At 35.4% G+C, this 27,022-nt stretch overlaps 1 protein-coding gene and 1 non-coding gene across 20 annotated transcripts in view, besides 1 other annotated feature; one reads left to right on the top strand and one right to left on the bottom strand.

Annotated features, from left to right (window-relative positions):
- PPP4R3B (protein phosphatase 4 regulatory subunit 3B) overlaps positions 1 to 27,022 on the top strand; it is a 70,331-nt gene that overhangs the window by 26,657 nt on the left and 16,652 nt on the right. For 3 of the 19 annotated variants that reach the window (XM_005264447.4, NM_001122964.3, XM_047445154.1), the window contains 11 exons: positions 2,010 to 2,087; positions 4,232 to 4,348; positions 5,799 to 5,915; positions 9,268 to 9,399; positions 11,185 to 11,287; positions 12,624 to 12,719; positions 13,610 to 13,651; positions 17,189 to 17,347; positions 22,603 to 22,772; positions 25,925 to 26,064; positions 26,469 to 26,653. In XM_005264447.4, the coding sequence (XP_005264504.1) occupies positions 2,010 to 2,087; positions 4,232 to 4,348; positions 5,799 to 5,915; positions 9,268 to 9,399; positions 11,185 to 11,287; positions 12,624 to 12,719; positions 13,610 to 13,651; positions 17,189 to 17,347; positions 22,603 to 22,772; positions 25,925 to 26,064; positions 26,469 to 26,653 (1,339 nt within the window). Of the gene's footprint in view, positions 1 to 2,009; positions 2,088 to 4,231; positions 4,349 to 5,798; positions 5,916 to 9,267; positions 9,400 to 11,184; positions 11,288 to 12,623; positions 12,720 to 13,609; positions 13,652 to 17,188; positions 17,348 to 22,602; positions 22,773 to 25,754; positions 25,811 to 25,924; positions 26,065 to 26,468; positions 26,654 to 27,022 lie in introns of those variants that run through there. The other 16 variants (XM_017004534.3, XM_017004531.3, XM_047445155.1 and 13 more) reach the window with 8 other exon arrangements.
- Positions 23,442 to 23,942: an enhancer, noted in NCBI's record as "H3K27ac hESC enhancer chr2:55794160-55794660 (GRCh37/hg19 assembly coordinates)". NCBI's record gives its function as "activates a minimal SCP1, AML or CMV promoter by ChIP-STARR-seq in primed H9 embryonic stem cells {active_cell/tissue: H9 hESC(primed)}" and the evidence as "EXISTENCE:reporter gene assay evidence [ECO:0000049][PMID:30033119]".
- Positions 25,116 to 25,263, bottom strand: LOC124900537 (small nucleolar RNA SNORA12). Its single transcript, XR_007088728.1, has one exon. It is a non-coding gene; the product is annotated as a small nucleolar RNA SNORA12 (small nucleolar RNA).

Raw genomic sequence — 27,022 nt, 5'->3', positions numbered from 1 at the left:
TTCATCTCCCAGTGTCTTGTCTTTGAGTAGCACCAATTGATTTTTAGTAGAAGAGCATGTTATACTCTCTGATTGTACCTAGTGGTTTCTATTCATTTTTTAAAAATACATGTTCCACGTTATTTCAAAAAGGATTTAAGGGATTGATACCATTTAATGGATGATCCTCAGTAAGAAAAAGGACAGGTAGTTGGGGTGTATCCTTTAAATGTTAGGGTTTTATTTTACTATCAACTCTACAGATACTATTGTTACAAACTTTTTTAGAACATGTTACTTTAAATTAATGGAAATTACATTTCATAAAAATGAATTTTGAAGATAACTGAAGCTTAAAACCACCAACAATTTCCATCAGTTTTTTTAGCAGATTTTGATGAAATCTCTAAGGTGAATTTTAATATTTTTGCCCATTTTTTCCTTTGTAATTTAGTCTGTGCTTATTGTAGAAAATTAGAAAATATAGATAACCAAAAAGAAAATCACTCATAACCTATCACCAATTAGAAAATATAGATAACCAAAAAAGAAAATCACTCATAACCTATCAGCAAGCAGTAACCACAGTTAACAGTCTAACCGGTACTCCTAGACTTTAGACAAACAAATTTATTTATTATTATTATTTTGTTGTTGTTGAGACGGAGTTTCACTCTTGTTGCCCAGGCTGGACTGCAATGGCGCAATCTCGGCTCACTGCAACCTCCGCCTCCCAGGTTCAAGCGATTCTCCTGCCTCAGCCTCCCTAGTAGCTAGGATTACAGGCATGTGCCACCATGCCTGGCTAGTTTTGTATTTTTAGTGGAGACGGGGTTTCTCCATGTTGGTCAAGCTGGTCTGGAACTTCCGACCTCAGGTGATCCCCCCGCCTCAGCCTCCCAAAGTGCTGGGATTACACGCATGAGCCACCACACCTGGCCCACAAATTTATTTTTTAAAAATGCGTGCTTGACTATATATATATTATATATATATAATATATTAAATATATATATAAATATATATATAATTATATATATTTTTTATATATATATAATTTTTTTTTTTTTTGAGATGGAGTCTCGCTCTTTTGTCCAGGCTGGAATACAGTGGCACAATCTCGGCTCACTGCAAGCTCCCCCTCCCGGGTTCACGCCATTCTCCTGCCTCAGCCTCCCAGGTAGCTGCCACTACAGGCGCCCACCACCATGCCTGGCTAATTTTTTTGTATTTTTAGTAGAGACAGGGTTTTACCATGTTAGCCAGGGTGGTCTCGATCTCATGACCTCGTGATCCGCCCGCCTCGGCCTTCCAAAGTGCTGGGATTACGGGCGTGAGCCACCGCGCCTGGCCACTTGACTATATTTTTCTGTTTGTCCTTTTAGACAACGCCTGTAGAAATTAGCACTTGTCTTTCTTTTTAATACCCCAGAGTCATTAGTATGAAAAGCAGTTATTGTAGTGCTTTGTCATTTAGTTATATCCTTGGGGACCGCAAGAACGTGTAAAACTGTGCACCAGTTGGTTGTAGGTTGTTGTATTTTATGAGTTATTGTATTTTAAATAGCTTTGTAACTTTATCTACTGTCGGAATTCAGCCTCCTTTACTGTTTTCCTTGTTCCTTGTCTTACAATTCTTGTTTTTCTAATCTGTTATAAACTGACAATAAGATCCTTAGGCTTGTTTGAATTATGTTTAAATTAAGAGTAAGTAGACCCTGAAAGGGGGCTAGAGAATCTAAGTTAAGTGAGTTTTCACGTAACACCTCTAGAACAAATATTTTTGTTTTCCAGAGAGTTATTTGTAGTTGAGGTTTTTAGTTAAACTAGATATTGATGTATTTATAACAAGAATTGAATGGTGTAGTCAAATTTTAGAAAATTGTAACACAGAAATACACCCCAGAATATTAGGTTTCATGATGAAAATACTACTTGTCAACTATTTTTTATAATTTGTGTAAGTCATATAAATGAGTATAACTTTATTCTTTTGTTAATATTTCATAGTAATTATTTTTCTCATGCAGGAAGATGAGAAGTTTTTGTCTGAAGTTTTTGCACAATTAACAGATGAGGCTACAGATGATGATAAACGGCGTGAATTGGTAAGTTATGAAATTCAAACTCTTAAAGAGCACTTATTCTTTTGGCATGCACAGCTTTTAATCTTGAATTTGCTAACTTGAGACAATTTTTTGTAATTAGATTAGTAAGAGATGAAAAGTATGTATTTAAATTGAACTATGAAATGATTATTCAGAGTTTCTAAAATTTGTTTCTAGAATTTGTGTATTTTAGAAACTTCTTAGGATGTTCTGATGTATCACCCCCCACCATTGTATGCCTTATAAATCCCCAAATCAGATAAGTGCCTTATGTTAGAACAGAACTACAAAATTCATACATTTTTATGGTTGCAGACATTCGCATTATAGCCATGCTTTTCTTTTTCTTTTTTTTTTTTTTTTCTGAGATGGAGTTTCGCTCTTGTTGCCCAGGCTGGAGTGCAGTGGTGCGATCTCGGCTCACCACAACCTCTGCCTCCCAGGTTCAAGGGATTCTCCCGCCTCAGCCTCCCAAGTAGCTGGGATTACAGGCATGCGCTGCCACACCCGGCTAATTTTGTATTTTTAGTAGAGACAGGATTTCTCCATGTTGGTCAGGCTGGTCTCGAACTCCCAACCTGAGGTGATCCCCCCGCCTTGGCCTCCTAAAGTGCTGGGATTACAGGTGTGAGCCACTGCGCCTAGCCGCAATGCTTTTCTTTTTAAACAAGAGATAAGGAAAATGCTTCCTGAATAAATGATATAAATAATTTGGTTCTTTGGAAATTTTTTATTTTTTATTGTAAGCATTTTCTTTGAGATATAAACCATTTTGAGGAAGAGAATAGTGATTGTGATTGCCGTTTGCCAGATGTTTGACATTTTTTTCAAACATAATGAGATGAGAAGGGAAAGTATATGTTATAGTAATGCATATTCAATTCTATAATTTAGCTATCTGATATTGAATTGCTACAGGAATATCTTCGGTTTCAGATTTTTATTTATTTATTTTGGATTTCACAAAATAATGAAAGATGGCTAATTTAAAACCTCTAAGTCATCTTTGGTGTAGTTACTTATTAGTAGCCTACTTCGTTTTCTCAATTATAATATTGGTGTTTTAGACTAGAGAAGTTTTGATGTACATTTCAGTCCTTAAACCAGTATTATGTTTTTGAGATATTACTGGGGACCCAGCTAGAGTTGAGTTGTAGGATGGTTTCTGTGAAACTATGTGTTCATAATTCAAAACAAATTTATTACCTGGCATTTTTGCACTGAATGTGTTTAAAGAGTTAATTGATCAGTGTTAGCCTTCTGAAAGATGTCATCGTTTTTTATTTTTTCTTTTCGAAAAAGAGTCTTGCTCTGTTGCCCAGACTGGAGTGCAGTGGCATGATTTCAACTCACTGCAACCTCCGCCTCCTGGGTTCAAGCGCTTCTCGTGCCTCAGCCTCCTGAGTAGCTGTGATTACAGGCGTGTGCCACCATGCCCAGCTAATTTTTGTATTTTTAGTAGAGACAGGGTTTCACCCTGTTGGGCAGGCTGGTCTCAAATTCCTGGACTCAAGTGATCCGCCTGCCTCAGCCTCCCAAAATGTTGGGATTACAGGCGTGAGCCACTGTGCCCCGCCAGATGTCATCATTTCAGAGTATCCTGGCACCTCAAAACCTACATTTAAAAACATTTTAAAAACTGGCACCCCATTAAAAGTATATCTTGCATTTTTGCATACTAATAGACCAATAGGCAAATCCAGCATTGTAAACAAAGCATGCATGCTTTCATTTGCCTTTTATAGCCAAATATCTCTGTTGACCTATAAGGTCCCATTGGAGTAAGGAAAATGTTCTAATAACATATTTCAAAGGTTCACTTAGAAAGATGTGTTGTCAAACACCTCCATTCACTGGAAAAAAAAGGAAAAAAGCAGCTTATGATGTGTCTTTCAGAAAGCCAGCTTACATTTACCTTGTATTGGTGGATTTCTCTTTTTGCTTAATAGCACCCAGTAATGCAAGGTTTACTTTTAATGGGGTGCTAGTTTTTAATTTGTTTTTAATGTAGTTTTGAGGAGCCAGCATACTCCAAAAAGATGAGATCCTTCAGAAGGGTGAATACCACACCATGGTAGATGATTACTATAGTGTGCCCCAAGTTTATGTTTATCAATGTCTCACTAAAATTTCTGACATTACAGGTTAATTTTTTCAAGGAGTTTTGTGCATTTTCTCAGACATTACAACCTCAAAACAGGGATGCATTTTTCAAAACATTGGCAAAATTGGGAATTCTTCCTGCTCTTGAAATTGTAATGGTAATTATGCCGTTTCTTTTCATGTTTTTGAAATTGTAAATTTGTAATACACTTATGTTATGGATGGGAAAATATATAATAATGTATATTCAATTCTATAGTTTAGCTATCTTAATTGAATTACAAGAATATCTTCAGTTTCAGATTTTTATTTAATTTTTAATATCAGTATGTAATCACTTGCATATAGTGTGCTTTCAAGTGAATAAAAAAACCCCACGTTTTTGCAAGACTGTTATATTTTCTGTAACAATATTAAGTGTGTTTCATAGAAGCCAGTAAAATATCTTTTGTTTTTAGATCAGTGAGTGGAACAAGGGGATTCATGCTGCAACACAGGGTTAGGGCATGGTTCTTAGAGTTTTGTTTATATGAGTTTTATCTATTGGTATTTACTTTATGGAAAATTAAAACAAATTTTTAAAGCATTCATTTAAAAATGATAACCCATTATATGTTAACATAAATAATAGAACTTTTTTCACCACATTTTCTTGAGATTGAAATCAATATAACTTTTATGAAAAATAATTTTTTCAAAACAAAAAATTTAGTGAAAAGAGTACCGTTTTTTACTTTTTTTTTCCTGCTAATCCCTTTAGTACCTTGCTTTATAGAAGGTGTTTAGATTCACAAAGCAGCTTCTACATTTAATTTGTGGTGATATCATGTCACACAGCCTCTGGAAAACCCCACTGTACTTGTGATTGAATGAGAGTGAAAATGACAAAGGCTCAGTGTTATTTATTATTATGAAATAGTCTTAATCTTGTATACTTCCTGAAAAGGATGTTAGACCCCTCTCACCAGGATTACCTGGACCACACTTTGAGAACTGCTGGGTTGGGGAGTGTTTTCAGAATCACCTCAAGGTTTTGTAACTTATAAGTCATGTACTCTTCATGTGTTGGAGGGGAAAAGTATCTAGGATTACCATCTTAGAAAACTAAGTTGCAGAAAAGGGTAGAAATGCCCAAAAAGAGTTTTCAAAAGCATGCTCTATTAGGTGAGTCACAGGAAATAGAAACAGTTACTAAGGAGTAACTCTTGCAAAATCAGGACAAAAGGCAGATTCTGGAAGACTTTGAAGTCTTAGCTAGGAGACGTTATTCAAATTTTTACATATATTTAAATAAATCCCCTTCCCATATTTTTTACAGCATTTGTAAGGTATTGCCTTATAATCCTGTGCCAATTCTTATATTTAAATTCTCTGTATATTTATTTGCAGTGGTAAAAATCAGCAGAAACTAATCATTGAATTGCCTGAAAGTTTTAATATTTGTAAAAAGAAAGGAAGAACATACTGGCAAGGTTATACACATTGATTGCAGTAAAACATCTTAATCCAAAAAGTTGAGAGCTAGTGTATGGATTTGGAAAAGAAAAAAGAAATGTGAGAATAACTTTTGTTAACAGTCTCTAAGTAACCTAATTTTCCTTTTATCAGGGCATGGATGATTTGCAAGTCAGATCAGCTGCTACAGATATATTTTCTTATCTAGTAGAATTTAGTCCATCTATGGTCCGAGAGTTTGTAATGCAAGAAGCTCAGCAGAGTGATGACGTAAGTAATAATGCTGTGGTTCTATGTGAATTACCTGTAGAGTGAGTAGTGTTTGCAAACTATTGAGAGAAAAAACATAACATAATCTTAATCTTTCTTGGGAGCAAAATAATAGATTTCTGACTTGTTGTGACTTTGGCCAAATTAGAATATGTGGCGACTGATTTTGTTTATTGTTAGAAAAAAAGAAACCCAGATATTCAAACCAATATTGAGATAAATAGATTATAATAGAATCAGATTTGTAAATATTGGTCTTAAATTTCAAGTGTTAATGAAATGTAATTTCAAGCCTTAGGAGATCTACAGGTCAGGTACTTACCTAGGATAACTAAAAAGTTGCTTTTATTTGTTCAAAAAATATGTTTTAAGTAGGAATGAAAGTTTAATAATGACTGGGTGAGATTGGAGACTATTTTTCTAAGTGCAGTAACTCAGGAATAGAAAACCAAACATCGTATGTTCTCAACTCATAAGTGAGAGCTAAGCTATGAGGATGCAAAGGCATAAGAATGACACAATGGACTTTGGGGACTTGGGGAAAGGGTGGGAAGGGGGTGAAGGATAAAAAAACTACAAATAGGGTGCAGTGTATACTGCTTGGGTGATGGGTGCCCCAAAATCTCACAAATCACCAGCAAAGAACTTACTCATGTAACCAAACACCACCTGTTCCCCAACCACCTATGGAAATAAAAAACATTAAAAAAAAGACAGTTTAATAATGAGACCAATATTGTGTTTTCCCACTACTGATATATTTAAATTTTCCCCTTAAGCTATTTTAAGGACAAAATGAACAGAGAGCTATAATTAAAAGTACTCTTTTTTTATTATTAAAAATGCCTCAGTTTTAAGTAGGAGATAATTATAATTGTCTTCCTTTTTGTTTTTTGTTTTTTTTGAGACAGAGGTTCACTCTTGTTGCCCAGGCTGGAGTGCAATGGCGCATTCTCGGCTCACTGTAACCTCTGTGCGCCACCACGCCTGGCTAACTGTGTATTTTTGGTAGAGAAGAGGTTTCACCATGTTGTTCAGGGTGGTCTCAAACTCCTGACCTCAGGTGATCCACCCATCTCGGCCTCCTAAAGTGCTGGGATTAAAGGCATGAGCCACCATGTGCGATCCACTTGTTAAGGAAAGTTTTTGATTCTCAATTTTAATTTGATGCTTGCATCAGTTACCACTGAATGAAATTATAGTTGTTTTATGTGTTTTGCATTTAATCTTTTAATGTGTCCTTAGATTTATACTTTCTATGTTTGTTAGTTATTTTCAATGTTTTTTAAAGTGATTTTATTTTAGAATCAACTTGGGCTAATGCTGCAATGTCAAATGATGCTAATTCTGACTTTAAAGAGAAATGCCTACTTTATTAATCATTTTATAATCTCATTGGTTTATCTTAATGCCACCCTTTACAAAAGATAACTTTGAAATTAACACTCCCATTGCTCCATCTTCAGTGATGTGTGTGATTAAAGGCATTTATCATAAAATGACCATGAATCAATCTCAGACCATGATCTTAGTAAACTGTTAACTTTCAGAATTCTTAACTCTTCAAGCTTTGATTCCTGTTTTAATTAAAAATATTTCTTGTTTAATTGATACCTAAGACTTAGAAAAGCAGTGATTGATTTTTTCACTGTGAAAAGATCCTTTCTCAGTGTTTTTTTTTCTTATAACAACCTTCTAGGGGTTTCATTTTCCTGAATTTTCTGAGAGCTAACAATTTTACATTTTTAAAACTGTGTTGCCTCAAAATAATTTAGTCCACAAGAGAAGATAAATTAATTACCAAAAAAAATCCAAATTAAGTCTTCTACATGCTGAATTCCATACTGGGCTGGTGGTGACCTTTAGGAAGGAAACAGAAAGTAACTTATTTTTATATTCAGTGGCAGTTGATATTTTAGTGCCCTTTTAAAATAAATGCTCAGCATTCAAACATTTCCTTTTGGTAAAGTATTATGGAGCAGATTTGGTTATGGCAACATGGATTACAATATTTAAATATGTATTAAGATGAAAGGAAATATTAACATTTTTTACTGTAGTCATTGTTTCTATCCAAGCAGAAAGGGTAAATTTAGCAATAATGTCATCTTTTTATGCCACAGATTGCACATATTTTTATATTAATGGCCTTTGAAACATTCAGTAAAACTTGCAGAACCTGACTGGATGAGTAATATAGTTATTACTGAATTACTTATTTTGTTAGGTGTTTTCTCATTTAATAATAAAATCTTAGGTTAATTTTTTAGATATGGTAACATTTGTGTTATTTTAAAAGAATCCTTATATTTTAAAGATTTATGCTCTCCTCTCGTTTACTGAATCCATCAAACCTAAGATATGCAGATGCTAATGTTTTCTTGATCTTACCAGACAGTGTCAGTAGAAGATTTTTATGTAATTTTGTCACGATTACCACTTGGCTGATAGTGGCTGTCAAATGCCATCAGTTACAAAATGTATCTTAATTTTAAGAGGTGAAAATTTTTAAGAAATCTGTTTTAGAATCAATGAAACAAATTTGAACATCTGATTTTCTTTATATTTCCCAATCAGAAAATAGAGATGCCAGCTTAGAATCAGGACAGTCTCTACTAAAAATACAAAAATTAGTCAGGCATGGTGGCTCATGCCTTTAATCCCAGCTACTAAAGAGGCTGAGGCAGGAGACTGGTTTGTAATGAGGTGGCAGTGAGCCCAGATTGCCCCACTGCACTCCAGCCTGGGCAAGAGAACGAGACTCCGTTTCAATAAATAAATAAATAAAATCCAAGAGCATGTTACTAATGTAACAAATCTATTTAATATTAGATTGTTATATAACACAGTGTTCACTTGCATGAAGAGTTGTGTACTGGGTTATTTTTGGTCATTTTTTCTTTTTTTTCTTTTTGTTAGGAAGGATTTACTAGTTAGAGGCTGAGATAATTTATGTCTTAGGGTCATGTGATCTTGCTTGTTTAGTCAACCTCTAAATTTACGCCTGAGTCTGAAACCCAAAATGAGATTCTGTTAGAACCTCTACTGAACAAGAACTACTGCTAAAGAATTTTGTTTTCCACTTCCTATAAGTTGAAGCATGCTCTGCTTTTGTGGGTTTTTTTTCCTCCTTCTTCTTTTTTTTTTCTCGGAGTGGGATTTTTTTTCACTCTAGTGTGTAGTATTTTATAGAACTTTCAAAAGCATTAGGAATAGAGGTTTAAATAAGCTATTCCATTCTTCGTTTTTTCTCTATATAATTCTCACTTTGCTCTTTCAGTTGGTGTTTTTGTCTTAGATCTAAACCAGGTCTAATGGAAACATGTTTTGTTTTGTTTTGTTTTGCCACCAGGATATTCTTCTTATTAATGTGGTAATTGAACAAATGATCTGTGATACTGATCCTGAGCTAGGAGGCGCTGTTCAGTTAATGGGACTTCTTCGTACTCTAATTGATCCAGAGAACATGCTGGCTACAACTAATGTAAGAAATTACTCTGAGATAAAAATGTTTTGGCCTAGTCAGTTTTAGGTGGCTTTGTAATAAGATTTTGAGAAACAAGTATTTTAAGTATTTGTCCAGTTGGTATTTAAGTAGCAGTGGTATTCTTATAGCAATTCATTTGTGGTAAAATACAAAATTGTAATCCGTCAAAATCTTAGTAAAATGTTAGGAATTCCATTTATGGCCCTTGGCCTCTATGTGTTAATTTCTTAAAATTTAATACACAGCAATGTGATTATACTTAACACTACTAAACTGTACACTTAAAAATGATAAAATTATTATTATTTTTTTGAGACAGAGTCTTGCTCTGTCACCAGGCTGGAGTGCAGTGGCGTGATCTCAGCTCACTGCAACCTCCGCCTCTCGGGTTCAAGCGATTCTCCTGCCTCAGCCTCCCAAGTAGCTGGGACTACAGACGCACACCACCACACCTGGCTAATTTTTGTATTTTTAGTAGAGATGGGGTTTCATCATGTTGGTCAGGCTGGTCTTGAACCCCTGACCTCAGGTGATCCACCCGCCTCAGCCTCCCAAAGTGCTGGGATTACAGGTGTGAGTCACCATGCCCGGCCAATACATTTTTAAATAGCAAGTTTTATGTTGCGTGATTTTATCACCATAAAAAAGGAAAAATTTAAATATACTGAATGATCTTAATTACCTAAGACATTTTAAAAGATTTAAGGATTAAGTCCTTAATACTTAAGGATTAGATACTCCAGAATATTAATAGTCATTCTCTCAATATGGAGGGATATTTTTCTTTATAAAATTTCCTTCATATTTAGAGAATATATACATCGTTTTTAAATCATTACAAGTTTGTATACCCAATTGTGTAAAAAATAGTGGCAAAAGCCATAGACATTATTTTCCAAATTTTCAAAGTATAAAATATTAAAATGTTAAAAGTTGATTTAAATTTTGTCTTTTCATCCAGTGGCTTGATAAAGTGATTCAGTGGTTTTTAAAATTTAGATAGAATTGGTGAAATCTGGGGTTCCAAATTTTAGGTAGTTAAGTTGCTATCACATGGGCTTAATTGGTTCTTTTTCTTTCTAAACATTTTTATTCTTCCAAAACAGATTCAAATGTGCCTTTTACCCCCATTTGAATGTTATTTTTAAAGTTGAGAGAATTTTCTTTCTTTGTTACTTTCTTGGGAAAAACTCAATACACTGCAGAGAGAGAGAGACAAATGGGATCAATAGTGATTATGGTGCTTGCTGTTCTGACTTACATGTTGTTTATTTTGTGTCTGTTTTACCTCAAGTATTTATTTGTGTTGAGAACACTTAAAATCTACTGTCTTAGCAGTTTGCAAGTGTAATACATTGTTAGTAATATGTTGTTATTATATATGTTGTACAATAGATTGGTTCTTCACTGCGTTTCATATTCGTATCACAGGCATCTTTTTAAAAAATTATTTTGAATAATTTTCCTCAGAAAAACATTTTGTGATGCTCTCTGATCTTTATCTTGCCTTCATTTTTACTTAGTACATAATATGAAGTAGACTTAATTTTCAGTTCCACAGAAATAAGATTAAAGTGAATATAGTTAGTTTTTGGTTCTTTGACAACGTATAACCAAGTGTTTGATTTTTTTCACAGTATTTTAAAGTATCTGCTTATATATGATCTGTACTGCTAATTCTTTTTGTTTTGGTTTGGTTCTGGAAAAGGTATGTACTGCTAATCTTGAAGATGTTTTTATTTACATAAGTAACAGTATTGTTTAAAAAATTCTATGTTTCAGAAAACCGAAAAAAGTGAATTTCTAAATTTTTTCTACAACCATTGTATGCATGTTCTCACAGCACCACTTTTGACCAATACTTCAGAAGACAAATGTGAAAAGGGTAGGGTCTCTTTATTTATCTGCTGTGATTTCTGTTTTTAAAGAAGGATGAGATAAATATTAAACTAACAGGCAATTTACTTGAGACTTTATAAGACAGGGAGATTACGACTGAAAAACTTAAACTGCAATATAAAATTATGATTTTCTTGTTTCTTAAGGTTATGGAAGTGAATGATAAAATGTGGCAAGACTATTCTTTCGGGGGCCATTTCTATAGTTTGTTGCTACGGAAGTTTCTCTGAACGTGTAGACCACTGGCAGAAAAAAAAGAAAATGTGGCAAACAGTATTACACACTAAGGAATTGATATGTAGACACTTATCAAAAGAAAGCATTGTCGCCAAATTTGTGCGATATCTAGAATGAGTAGAAGCAAATAGTATAAATATTTTAACTTAGCCTCCAAATGCACATTCATATGCCAATATGTGCTAATATATAGGGGCAAGGCTTTTTCCTTAGTATTTTTAAAATTGCATTTCCATATTCTCTTTCTTATGTAATCGGCACCCGTAATTCATCAGCTGCAATTTCTGTTTTCAGTTTATTAAAATGGAGTGAAAATCTAAAAATTTTTTGAAGGAGTCTGAGTGCAGAATCCTTTGGTTTTAGTATATCCCTCTAGGTAATTATAGTTGCATGTATCTAATTTGGAGGCAATTTTTAAATTGAGTCCTTCTATATTCAACTTAACTGTAGATATTACAGTTCTCTGAGATTTCATCAGTCTCATATGTTACCATATGACCATACTACATACTAACATAAGCAAAGGACTTTGAAAAGCGTACAACTTAATTAGTGAAATCAGAAATATGTGGGGCATAATAGAACATTAGCCACTATCTGAGAATACTTGTTAACCTGAAGAGTCACTTAAAAGGAAGTTAGGAGAATGTTTATGAAACTAATAAAGTTGAAACATGAGCACACCCTATGTAATACTATCAGTTCCATTTCTGAGTATATACTCTAGGGAATGTTTGTGCATATGCATGACAGGTACAAGAATGTTGCTGCATTGTTTGTGGTAGGAAAATGAATAAAATATGTTTTTTTCATATAATGGAATACTATATAGCAGTTAAAATAATTGAATTTTGATGTATCAACTGAATAATTCCCCAAAATATCAAGGTGAATGGGTACAAAAGCACATCGCAGAGGGTTTTCTTGCAGAATGGTTCCATTTATATAAATGAAAATAATGCATTTTTTATGTTCATTTTAATAAAACACTTCCAGCTTACAGAAATATATAGATAATAATATAACAGACACTCATATACTCCCTGTTGGCTTTATCAAAACTAACTTGCCATATTTTTTTTCAGATTTTTTTTTAAAACATTACAGATATAGTTGGAGTTTCATATGTACCCCTTCACATTCCCATTCCCATTCTACCCCCTCTTCCTCCATCTCTCAAGGTATGCTGAATTTGGAGTGTATCACTCCTATATTTACTTATGTTGTTATGATGTGTATATACGGTATTATTTTTCTTGTTTTCAAAGTTGCTATAAATTTAATGTCTGTCATACATATTATTCTGCATATTTTTTATCCAGTGTTATTTTTGAGATCTATTCGTATTGATACCTGTTCATATTGATCTAATTCATATTGAAATAGAGTTCTTATTTATTTTTAACTCCTACATAATCCTCTCTTATGAGGATGCTGTAATTCAGCCATTCTGCCTCTAATGTGCATTTGTTTCTAGCTTTTTGCTATTACAAATAATGCTCCAGTTACATTCTTGTGTTTCCCTGTGCACATGTGCCTTGATGTGCTCTAGAATGTATTCCTAGAAATTGGAACTTATTTATAATGGCCTACTTAATTGAGTTTTTTTTTTAATTTAAAGCATAAACACATTCATTATTCTGGAGTTTTAAAAATTCCTGCATTTTCTGTTTTTAAAAATTAGATGTATAATGGATAATCAAATGCAAATGTTATTTTAAAAAATTAAAAATAGTAAAACAAAAATGAGATGAAGAGAAATACCCTAATTGTTGAATGATGAATAGGAGAAGGTAAAAGAAGATATGTCAGTTTTATCTCTGGTTGTAATCTTACTTTTTATCAGAATATTTATGCTATGTTGTCTTTTAATAATTCCACATCTGCATCCACTTTTGTAAAAGATTGCAGATATAGTTATAATTTTGCTGAAGCAACCAAGTCTTTATGGTTATTTTGAGGGTAAAAGGAGATTATGATTGAAGACATGCATTGTATATTATAAAGTACTAGGGAAATCTGGGATATTATTACTGAAGTATTTTATTTTAATTTTTAATTTTTTTATTAGATAATATAGTTGGATCAAACAAAAACAACACAATTTGTCCCGGTAAGTATGAATTCATACTTTATGAATACATGCAAATTATAAACTTTTTTCTACTCTAAGTGTAATGCACTTATATAAGGCTAAGAAAAGCATATTTTGGCATAAAAACAAAATCCAAGAAGAAATTTACTTTTGTAATTCCACTATCTCCAATATTAAAAATAGAAAACGAGTTGGAATTCTGTTGTTTTTCCCTGAAAATTTATAGCTTGTTTTCTGATGTTGTTATGAGAAGGCATTGTCTGAAATTTGAGGATTTAGTTCTTATTTTTGAAATGTAGTAAACTAAAACCAATTACTTTGCAACTAATTTTCATGACCACTTTATGGTTATTGTTCATGAATCTGAGTCTAAAAGCAGTTGTTTCTACTTAGAATAGGCATAGTAGGTATGGGCTTGATACTAATAAAGACATGTGCTGTGTGCACCTACCGTCCCATACCTTTTCTGCCAGCCTCATCAAATCTCAAAGGGGAGCCAGTTTCAAATAAGGAGGCTGTTTAGAGATTGGACTATTTAGAGATACAAGTAATTTCTTGTCCCCGTTATAAAGATGAAGACAAGACATTTGTTTAACACTGTAGTTCATTGTTTTTCTTTTTTATTTTTTTTGAGATGGAGTCTCACTCTGTCGCCCAGGCTGGAGTGCAGTGGCACAATCTCGGCTCACTGCAAGCTCCGCCTCCTGAGTTCAAGCGATTCTTCTGCCTCAGCCTCCCGATTTTTTGTATTTTTAGTAGAGGCGGAGTTTCACCGTGTTAGCCAGGGTGGTCTCGATCTCCTGACCTCGTGATCCACCCGCCTCGGCCTCCCAAAGTGCTGGGATTACAGGCGTGAGCCACCGCGCCCGGCCTGTTTTTGTTTTTTTAAACTTAATTTCCACATACAGCATTGAGGGTCAAGGTTAAAAAATATTTTGTAATAAAATTTGGGAATTGAGAAATAAAGAATTGCTTTCGTTTGTTTGAGACAGAGTCTCACTCTGTCACCCAGGCTAGAGTGCAGTGGCACAATTTCGGCTCACTGCAACCTCCACCTTCTGGGTTCAAACCATCTCCCGCCTCAGCCTCCCAAGTAGCTGGGATCACAGGTGTGCACCACCACGCCCAACTAATTTTTTTGTATTTTTATTAGAGATGGGGTTTCACCATGTTGGCCAGAATGGTCTCAAACTCCTGACCTCAGGCGATCCACCCACCTTGGCCTCCCAAAGTGCTGGGATTACAGGCATGAGCCACTGCACCTGGCCAGGAATTGGTTTTAATGATGAGGGACTAGTTCAAATTTTGGCTGTGGTACTGGCTGTTAGAGCAATTGGTCTGGAGCAAGTGAAACTCTTTACTTGCATTTAAAGTAGAAACAGTCCTTGAAATATCAGAATTTTATTTTGTGTATTTATATGTGATGGTCATTCTGTTATTACAATGCTAATTTATTTCCAATAGCATTGTAGTTCCCCAAAATATTTATGTATATAATCTCAAATAAAATAGTTGTACTAGATGATGTCATTTTTTTAAAAATTCCGTAAGCCTGTGATTTTATAATTTCCTTACAGCTTAATATTTCCTTGTCTAGCCAAGCGTGGTGGCTCACACCTGTAATCTCAGCACTTTGGGAGGCCGAGGCAGGAGGATTGGTTGAGCCCAGGAGTTAGAGACCAGCCTGGGCAACATAGTGAGACCTCGTCTCTACAAAAAATATACTGGGCATGGTGGTATATCCCTGTGGTCCCAGCTACTAGGGAGGCTGAGGTGGCAGGATCACTTGAGTCTGGGAGGTTGAGGCTGCATTGAGCCGAAATTGCACCAGTGCCCTCCAGCCTGGGTGACATAGTGATACCCTGTCTCAAACAACAAGAAAATATTTCTTTGTCTAAAGCACTTATAATATGGGTGGTGCATGATTGTCCATGTGAGCCCTTGACATAAATTAAAATTTGATGTTCAGGATGCAGTTCAAAATCATTTCATGAATGTATCAACCAAAGCCTCAGGGAAAGAAAAAATGCAAGTTTATTCAGTAGGTCCCTCTCTATGGACATCGTGAGTTGATATTTTAAAAGTTGTAAATAGGCCGGGCGTGGTGGCTCACGCCTGTAATCCCAGCACTTTGGGAGGCCGAGGTGGGCGGATCATGAGGTCAGGAGATCGAGACCATCCTGGCTAACACGGTGAAACCCCATCTCTACTGAAAACACAAAAAAAAATTAGCCGGGCGTTGTGGCGGGCGCCTGTAGTCCCAGCTACTTGGGAGGCTGAGGCAGGAGAATGGCGTGAACCCGGGAGGCGGAGCTTGCAGTGAGCCGAGATCGCACCACTGCACTCCAGTCTGGGCTACAGAGTGAGACTCCGTCTCAAAAAAAAAAAAAAAAAAAAGAAGTTGTATATGAAATTATATTAAATCATGTTTAAGAATCAGGCTGGGCGCAGTGGCTTACGCCTGTAATGCCAGCACTTTGGGTGGCTGAAGCGGGTGGATCACGAGGTCAGGAGATCGAGACCATCCTGGCTAACACGGTGAAACCTCATCTCTACTAAAAATACAAAAAAATTAGCTGGGCATGGTGGCGGGTGCCTGTAGTCCCATCTACTCGGGAGGCTAAGGCAGGAGAATGTCGTGAACCCAGGAGATGGAGCTTACTGTGAGCCAAGATCGCGCCACTGCACTCCAGCCTGGGCGACAGAGCAAGACTCTGTATCAAAAAAAAAAAAAAGAATCTTGATGTAATATTTTTTACTTGATATTCAAACAGCCAAAAATATCCTTTTCTTAAAATGTCTTTTCTAAAAGCGTATAATTTTTCTTGAGAAATTTGCACTGAGCCACTTTAGGCAAAAAGTTTTAAGTATTTTTTAACAATGGGCCCTTTTATAGATTTATTAATATTAATAATATAGCATTTATTACAGAAACATTACCAAGAACTCCTCAGTGCCATCAAGGTATTATTATCATGTTCATATATTTTTATTGCCTTTCTTTCTGTATTTCATATTTTATGCAAATATAAGTCTTAGTTATCTAGTAGGTAAAACTGATAATATGCTTCTGGAGAGTCTGCCTAATGAAAAAGTAAAAATCTACAGCCTTTTAAATGGATATGAAAATGGAGGAAATAGGCCAGGTGCAGGGGCTTACACTTGTAATCCCAGCACTTTGGGAGGCTCAGGTGAGAGCATCGCTTGAGTCCAGGAGTTTGAGACCAGTCCAGACAACATAGTGAGGCCCCATCTCTACAAAAACTTGAAAAAAAAAATTAGCTAGCATGGTGGCGTACATCTGTAGTTCCAGCTACTCTGGCAGCTGAGGTGGGAGGATCAGTTGAGCCTGGGAGGTGGAAGCTGCAATGTGCCATGATCACACCACCACACTCCAAACTGGGTGACAGAGTGAGACTTTGTCTCAAAAAAAAAAAAAAAAAAAAGGAGGAAATACAGTTTAGATTTTGTTATAACATATAGGATGTAAGCTTTATTTATTCTTTATTTAGATATATTCAATATTTATTTTCATGAGATTACTTTCTTTTGTAGATAATTATCAAACAGCACAGCTACTTGCCTTAATTTTAGAGTTACTCACATTTTGTGTGGAACATCACACATATCACATAAAAAACTATATTATGAACAAGGACTTGCTAAGAAGAGTCTTGGTCTTGATGAATTCAAAGCACACTTTTCTGGCCTTGTGTAAGTATAAAATGTTTTAAGGAGCAACATTTTTAATAGAGATAAAACTGAAGTTACCCATTTGAAGTTATTTATTAGCAGTGTATATTCTATGAATGAGATGATTGTGAGAAGTCCTATTCTTTTGTTCTTATTTAAAGGGCAAGAGGACTAGGTTGTAGTGATTTTCCCACCCACATATTGCTCACATTTAGATTTAATGAGCCTAACTTTTGTTGTGATACATTACCATGTGCAGTGACAGCATTTTACTAACAGAACCAGTCCTGCTGTTTTTTTACATCTACTTCATCAAACTGTCATTTAGTAGTCAGTCACTCTTTATAATTATCCTGATATTTGCATCAATGTTGATTTTTAGCAGACTATAAACTGTCACCTTCATAATTTCACCTGCAAGCAGAGAAAGAAACATCCTCCCTCCAAATGAAAAGTACTTTGTGGTTTTATTCTGACCATAAAAATTATATTTTAAATATAGACATTTAATTTAATGTATAGAGAAAATGTTAATCTCCCTAATCTTTATTTTTATGGACTTAAAATAGCCAGTGTTAACTGTCTGCATTATTTCTTTTTTTCATACCTGTACCAATTTATGTAATAAACATATTCACACATGTATAGAGGATTTTTTTGTGTTTTTTATATTTACAAAACAGTATCATACCAACACATTTCTCAGCCCACTAATACTACTCTAGATTAATCAATATTGTATAGACTAATTTTATTCCTGGAGATAGCTGAGTAAGATTTTATAGTATGGCTCTTCCACAGATTCTTCTGCCATTCTCCAGTGGATAAATTACAGGATTGTTTTTGCTTTCTTGCCACTCCACATCTCACTGTGGTAAATAGTCTAGTACATAAATCTTTTAAGTACTGATTTATTTCTTTCTATAGGATAGATTCTCAATAATGGGATTGGTAAGAGAAAATATTTATCTGTTTTATACTTTTTAATGTATCTCTAAGTTTTAATTTACCATATAGCTGCCAGATTACTTCCGCCAAAATTGAAGCACTTTGACATTGTCCCAGCATTCAGTGTTACTAATTTTAAAATGTTATCAATCTGATACTGAAAAATGTGGTATCTCATTGTTATTCTAATTTGCATTTTCCCTGACAGCATCTTTTCATATATTAGTGTACTTTGCATTTTTATCTGTTGTGAATTGCCAGTTATCTTTTTCTTAGAGCTTTTTGTATATTAGAGATATTAACAATTTATCATGTTTTGAGGAGAAAATGTCCATCTTCATTGTCTTTTGTCTTTGCCTTTATTTGTAGTATTGTTTTCCAGATAACTTTAAAATTTCCTTATGATGGCAAAAATGTCTTTCTTTTCCTTTTATGACTTTTGGGTTTTTTGTTTTGCTTAGGAAAGTCTTATGTCCTAAGATTATGCAGATATTCTCACTTTCTTCTAATATCTTTATTTCCTTTTTTACATTTATGTATGTAACACATGTGAAATTTGTTTTTGCACATATACTTTGAAATGAGAGTGTTTGAAATGAGTGTTTCCTAGATACATAGCCAACAGTATCAGCACCTTTATTAAGGCAACCATACCTTTCCTCTTTCCTTCTGAATTGAAATACCATTTTTGTTAAATAAGTTAACATATATATACTTTTGTTTTATTTCTGGACAGTCATTTAATTTCACCAAATGTAAAAGTACCAGTGTTGGCCAGGCGCAGTGGCTCACGCCTGTAAATCCCAGCACTTTGGGAGGCCAAGGCGGGTGGATCACCTGAGGTCAGGAGTTCGAGAGCAGCCTGGGCAATATAACTGTCTCTACTAAAACTACAAAAATTAGCCAGGCATGGTGGTGTATGTCTGTAATCCCAGCTACTCAGGAAGCTGAGGCAGGAGAATCACTTGAACCCGGGAGACGGGGGTTGCAGTGAGCTGAAATCGCAACACTGCACTCTAGCCTGGGCAACAGAGCAAGACTCTGTCTCAAGAAACAAACAAACAAACAAAAAACCTGTGTTTATTATATTATGCCAGGCATTATAGTGTCTCTTGTAAGGTTTAATACCTACTGAGACCCCTTCACTTTTGTTTTTCATACTTTTCTTGGTTGTTCTTAGACATTTTTTTCTTTCATGATAACTGGTTGTATCCAGTTCATTTTGATTGGAATTACATTATATTTTTATATTAATTTTGGAATGTTTGATGTTCTTAAGACAGATTTTCCTATTTGGCTCATTAAATAGTACTTTTCGATGACTGCAGAATACTTCCCTTAATAGGAACATGTCAATTGAATGCATTTCCATTTTTTTTTTTGAGACAGAGTCTTGCTCTGTTGCCCAGGCTGGAGTGTAGTGGCACAGTCTCAGCTCACTGCAGCTTCTGCTTCCCGGTTTCAAGTGATTCTCCTGCCTCAGCCTTTCGAGTAGCTGGGATTACAAGTGCCTGCCACCACACCTGGCTAATTTTTTGTATTTTTAGTAGAGATGGGGTTTCACCATGTTGGCCAGGCTGGTCTCAAACTCCTGACCTCATGATCCACCCTCCTCAGCCTCCCAAAGGGCTGAGATTACAGGTGTGAACCGCTGCACCCAGCCACAATTTCCAATATTTAAATGTTTATATTGTTTCAAGATTTCTATTATTATAAGCAGTGCTGTTGTAACTGTAGTTTTGTGTACATGTCAGTTCATTTACCAGCAGTGTAGAATTGTGCCTCTTTGCTCACAAACTTGCCAGTGCTTCAGTCTTTTGCATCTTAAGTAAACCATTTCTTATCCTGCCACAAAAAGAGGGAAGATTGTAAGTCTAACACGTCTCCCCATACTTGTTTGGTGTTACAGTTAACATTTATACCTTATGTGGCCTATTTCTGTTTTATTCTCAGATAATGTTTAGAACCTCTTGTGACAGGCACAAGTTCTTTGTTTAATGAGTTTCATCTATGAACAGAGGGTTGGAATGAGAAAATGACTTATAAAATCAGAAGCCTTGTGTTTTGAAGATTTGACTAGTGGTATCTGTAGAATAAACTACTTAGGGGAAAGGATACAAGTTAAAGGATCAACATATAAAAATAAAGGATTGAAATTATAGTCCTTCCTGTTCCATAAGATTTTTAGCAGTAATATTGCTAAATTTAGTAAGCTTTATTTAGCTAGTCACGAGTTAAAAAGGAGATTTCTTTTCAGTGTCCTAAAATGTGAAGTCAAGTTGTACTTCTTATTCATTACTCTGTTTTACTTTTAACAAATACATTCTGATCTGCCACAGTGCATATTTAGCCAGGTAAAATAGCTTGTAAGCAATTGGTACATAAGAGAATGATGTAATTATAATACGGAGATAGGATTGGTTCACAAATTGTTTGTTTTTTGAGACATAGTCTCACTCTGTCACCCATGCTGGGGTGTAGTGGCACGATCTCAGCTCACTGCAACCTCCACCTCCAGGGTTCAAGTGATTCTCCTGCCGCAGCCTCCCGAGTAGCTGGGACTACAGGCGCCTGCCAGCACACCTGGCTAATTTTTTGTATTTTAGTAAAGACGGGGTTTCACCATGTTGGCCAGGCTTGTCTCGATCTCCTGATCTCGTGATCTGCCTGCCTCAGCACAAATGTTTTTTTCAAGGCAAGGAGAAGTAGAATAGTGTGAGTGGAAATAGTCTTCATCAGAGAAGTAAAAAACCTTTAGATCTCCTTTATGTGATTGGCATCTGGCATCAGGAGCCTCTTTAGTGTAGGGACCAGCCCCACAGGGTCGGTGGGTTTTTCTCCCCGTGTGCAGAGATGAGAGATTGTAGAAATAAAGACACAAGACAAAGAGATAAAAGAAAAGACAGCTGGGCCCGGGGGACCACTACCACCAAGACGCGGAGACCGGTAGTGGCCCCGAATGCCAGGCTGCGCTGATGTTTATTGGATACAAGACAAAGGGGCAGAATAAGGAGTGTGAACCATCTCCATTGATAGGTAAGGCCACATGGGTCACGTGTCCACTGGACAGGGGGCTCCTCCCTGCCTGGCAGCCGAGGCAGAGAGAGGAGAAAGAGAGAGAGATAGCTTACACCATTATTTCTGCTTATCATAGACTTTTAGTACTTTCACTAATTTGCTACTGCTTTCTAGAAGGCAGAGCCAGGTGTACAGGATGGAACATAAAGGTGGACTAGGAGCGTGACCCCTGAAGCACAGCATCACAGGGAAACAATTAGGCCTCTGGATAACTGCAGGTGGGCCTGACTAATGTCAGGCCCTTCACAAGAGGTGGAGGAGTAGAGTCTTCTCTAAACTCCCCCAGGGAAAGGGTGACTCCCTTTCCCGGTCTGCTAAGTAGCAGGTGTTTTTCCTTGACACTAACGCTACCGCTAGACCATGGTCTGCTTGGCAACGGGCATCTTCCCAGACGCTGGTGTTACCGCTAGACCAAGGAGCCCTCTGGTGGCCCTGTCCGGTCTTTTGGTCACTTCTCAGTATGTACCCTCAGCTCCTATCTCTGCATGGCCTGGTTTTTCCTAGGTTATGATTGTAGAGCGAGGATTATTATAATATTGGAATAAAGAATAATTACTGCAAACTAATGATTAATGATATTCATATATAATCATATCTAAGATCTATATCTAGTATAACTATTCTTATTTTATATATTTTATTATACTAGAACAGCTCGTGCCCTCAGTCTCTTGCCTCGGCACCTGGGTGGCTTGCTGCCCACACTTTAGCTGTATTTTCAGAAAACTGAAAACAAGCTTTTGCCTCTAAAGCTCCCTCCCTCAGAGAGGCAAGGCAATCTTAGCTCATGGTGGGTTGCCCACTCCTGTGCCCACCTTAATGACAGTGCCCCCACTGATTCTGAGCTGCCTTCACTGCGTTGTCTCAGCATCCACCAGCACTGCTGTAAATACTGCTAGCATTTGCAGTCTATGGATTTTGCATATTTTTAAATCTCTGTCACAGAGCTACCTGCCTGGGTAGTTTATCTCCTAGATTCCAATTACTGTTTTTGTTGTTGTTGTTGTTGTTAGTTCTGGCTACAAAGTTGTACAGGTTTTGAGCGATCCTCTGCAGCTCTATTTTCCTCAAAGTCCAGTTTTACCAGACAGTTTTACTTTTCATTTTAGAGGAGTTTACTTTTTACTTTATACACAGTTTTACTTTTCATTTTAGAAGAGCATATACATTGCTTTATGGTGGAAAAACACCTGTATAATAATTGATTTTAGTAAGATCATTAACTTATTCCCTATATTATTTTTAATTAGGTGCCCTTCGCTTTATGAGGCGGATAATTGGACTTAAAGATGAATTTTATAATCGTTACATCACCAAGGGAAATCTTTTTGAGCCAGTTATAAATGCACTTCTGGATAATGGAACTCGGTATAATCTGTTGAATTCAGCTGTTATTGAGTTGTTTGAATTTATAAGAGTGGTAAGTTTATATAAAACAGCTGTTATTATATGTAATTATATGTAAATAATTTTTTATGTAAAAGAATTACATGTAAGCAAAGTGACTTCATTCCCTTTTCACCCCTGAAATTATATATTCCATGTGTCTTAGAATCTATTCTAATAAACAGAAATTTTAAAAATCAGTAGCTTTTTAATTCTTATTTGCCACATGGTTATAGTTTAGTGGTTTTTACTTTTGACACTGATATTTTTTAACGCTAATATTTTTAATTGTGAAATATAAAAGTGAAATTCAGCATAGTCTTTCAGCCCATATTTACTTGATTTTCTCAGTTCCATTTTTATTGGCCAAATGTTTCATGATCTCATTTGGTGTATGTGGACATTTCAGTCAATCATGCCTTATTCACGTGATCTTTTAGGAAAAGGTGATATTTTTATTGTAGAGGTAATGATTTAAAAAGAATAGAAAGATGGAAAAATAATTCACTTGGGGTTGGGCGTGGTGGCTTACGTCTGTAATCCCAGCACTTTGGGAGACCTGGGCAGGCTGATCACTTAAGGTCAGGAGTTCGTGACCAGCCTGGCCAACATGATGAAACCCCATCTCTACTAAAAATACAGAAATTAGCTGAGTGTGATGGCACACGCCTGTAGTCCCAGCCACTTGGGAAGCTGAGGCACAAGAACCACTTGCATCCAGGAGGTGGGGTTGCAGTGAGCCAAGATTGCATCACTTCATTCCAGCCTGGGTGACAGAGCAAGACTCTTGTCTCAAAAAAAAAAATCATTTGGTAGACATTAATACAACATGCATAAAAGGTAGGATGGAATCCTAGAATTTTAAGTTAAAGAGATCAGGAAGTTAGATGGACTACTCCAATTACCGTATTTTATAGATCAGGAAATTAAGACACCCAAAGTTATTAAGTGACCTATTCAAGAACATCCTTTTGGATAGTAGCACAATCAGGACCAGTCAGAACTTGAAGCTTTGTCCCAGCTTAGTTTTAGGCAACAGAAGATTTGTCATAAACAATCTGGAGGGCAGTCTATGTGAATAACAGGAATGCAACAGATAACTGTAGAACCAGTACAACAAATTTACTTCACCTGTACTTAAACACACCGAAATCATTCCACTGAGGAAATGGCCACATAGTTGGAAAGAATTTGGGTTTTATTTTTTGTTTTGTTTTGTTTGAGACAAGGTCTCATGCTGTTGCCCAAGCTGGAGTACAATAATGTAATCACAGTTCACTGCAGCCTCGACCTCCTGGGCTCAAGCAGATCCTCCCACGTCAGCCTCCTGAGTAATTGGAACTACAGGCATGCACTAAAGTGCCTGGCTAATGGTAATTTTTTTTTATGTATGGGGTCTCCCTTTGTTGCCCAGGCTGGTCTCAAACGCCTAGGCTCAACCAGTTCTCCCACCTCAGCCTCCCAAAGTGTTGGATTACAGGTGTGAGCCACTGCACCTGGCTGGAAATAATTTGAAAAATCAAAGTCCAAGCTAGAAATTCATTATCTAGTTTTATTTCTTACAAGTCAGATTTTTGCTGATAACATGCTATTCTCATATGAAGATTATTTGGCTGACTGGATTGTTTTTCTAAAAGTGGTCAATTGCCAAGTATATGATTTTTAAAAGGATGAAGAGGATAGAAGTCTTTAACCTGGTAAAAGAAGGAACATGGTTAACTAGCTCACTAGTTCCCATTGTACTGCTGCAATAAATCAAAGCTTTATATTTTATTTACTTTATATTATTCTCCTTTAAAATTTTGGTGAGATACAGATAAAGCAAATGGTAGAGTTTACAACCCTGTCCCTATGCCCATGATGGAATTGTTTTTGTGAAAATAAGTTCGAGTGGTCGATTTGTGTACCTTGTGCCCCAAAACTTAATGTATTTTTTCGTTTCACATATAACATAGAGCCATTACCTAGGTTTCTAATTTCTGATTTGCGTATTTTTTTTCAATTGAGAAGTACAGGAGAACTAGTTTTAAGACTTAAAATCCATAATGCAACCAAATTATGGTGTATCTTTTCAAGAAATGACCTGTGTGTTTCTTACTATGTAGTGTTATCTGTAAAGTCCTCAATCACAACTTTAATTTTTTTTTTTAAAATAAGCCTACTGGGCATGCATGCATTTGCAGTGATGGTTTAGAATTTAGAAGTTATTACTATCAATTAGTTTATTTCACAGATATTATACTATTGGAAGACTATAGGAATAGACAAGTAGAATTCCAGATAGTTTATCAGATCTGTGTGTATAATATAGTCAGAGAAGTCTTTGCTTCTTATTATTTAGGTAACACGTGTCCTCTGTTGTTTTTTCTTCTTCTGTGTGTGTGAAAGCCAGCCTCTGATGTGGGAAAGGCTTGAGAGAGATCTCTTTGTCATCAAGCCTTTGCCAGCTCCTATATGATATATGTGGCAGAGTTAGGCTCATTTGAAAACTTAACAAATGTACCAGAAAGAAAACCACCACAACCATATCCCATTTTGATAGCAGTTAAACAGGAAGTCATTAAATAAGACCTGTTTGTTGAAAAATATGTTTTTCTTTTATTAATACATAATATTATACAGATGTATTTGGTACATGTATTTATTTTTTACATGCATAGAATGTGTAATGATCAAGTCCGGGTATTTGGGGTATCCATCACCGTGAGTATTTTGAAAATGTAATTTTAACATCTGCCCTCTAACCAGCCGTGTGCTCTGGATCAAACCATCCAGCCTCTCTTAGAGCCTCAATTTTGGTTTTTCTCTAAAATGGGAATAATAAAACCTATCTCATAGAATTGTTGTGAAGATCAAATGAAATTTTATGTAAAAGTGCTTTTTAAATTGTAAACTGCTATATATATATATATATATACAAAAAATAGAAGATGTAAAATAAATCTATTTACTTTTCGAATGCTCTTTATAGTCCTATAAAAGGACTCCAGTAAATTGCTTCTCCTTTTTTTTCAAGTTTTCTGTGCAGTCCTGACTCATGTGTAAAGAAACCAGGACATTACATTTTGGAAGGTGATTTTGAAAAACCTTTTTTGATCAGCTTTAGAACTACAAAACAAAATTTTAAAGTTTTTCTTCTAACAAGCATTGTATTATATTTTAAATGTAAATTTTGTGCTTATACAGGAAGATATCAAGTCTCTTACTGCCCATATAGTTGAAAACTTTTATAAAGCACTTGAATCGATTGAATATGTTCAGACATTCAAAGGATTGAAGACTAAATATGAGCAAGAAAAAGACAGACAAAATCAGAAACTGAACAGGTATTGTTTAAGTATACTGCTTTTATAGCCTACAAAACTGTGTCCAAAATTGTTTGTAGTTCAGATTTTCCATGTGAAATTTACTGAGGAATTTTCTTTCCATCACTGGATAGCATAGAGTTGAATAGGAGGGTAAGGCGTCCCCCCTACCCCATATCATTTATATGTTGAATTACTACTCCATGTTGTAACTTACGAAGAATATTTAGTTTAATTTACAACATCCTAAAATATTTTGGAGTGTTCTCTGGCTACATCTTCTATCATTACAGAGATTATTTTGATATAAATTATAGTCAGTTAAAATTACTTCAGTTCATCTTGGTTATACATATTTTTCCTTCAGTTCAATCTGATGATGAACTTTAAATCATTACTCAATATTTGTGATATATTTCTTACAGTGTACCATCTATATTGCGTAGTAACAGATTTCGCAGAGATGCAAAAGCCTTGGAAGAGGATGAAGAAATGTGGTTTAATGAAGATGAAGAAGAGGAAGGAAAAGCAGTTGTGGCACCAGTGGAAAAACCTAAGCCAGAAGATGATTTTCCAGATAATTATGAAAAGTTTATGGAGACTAAAAAAGGTATTAAAATTCGGAATTTTTGCACAGTGTACCCTCTTATTTAGTGCAGAAATTATTTTGTTGCTTTGTGAAGGTTTGTTTATAGTTTACAAAGCAAGAAAGACAAAAATTTTATACCAAACTGTGTTCTTTTAAAATTATGTACTTTTTCCAAATCTGTCTGGGAATTCTTTTCATGTTTAAAATGTTTCTCTTCAAACTTGCTATTTTGTAATGCTGTTAATTTGCTAGTTAGAAATTGAATTATCTACTTATACTTTTCTTTCTGTGAATAGTCTTGGCTTTATTTCTATACTGAAATTCTCAGTAATAACAGAGACCATATAGCTTCATAGAAACCTTCTAGAGTACTTTGCCTGTGTCTTTTAC

The sequence above is a fragment of the Homo sapiens genome, chromosome 2 (assembly GCF_000001405.40).
Source record: "Homo sapiens chromosome 2, GRCh38.p14 Primary Assembly".
Taxonomy (NCBI): Eukaryota; Metazoa; Chordata; class Mammalia; order Primates; family Hominidae; genus Homo; species Homo sapiens.
The sequence above is the reverse complement of the archived record's forward strand: the minus strand, read 5'-3'. Positions and strand labels throughout refer to the sequence as shown.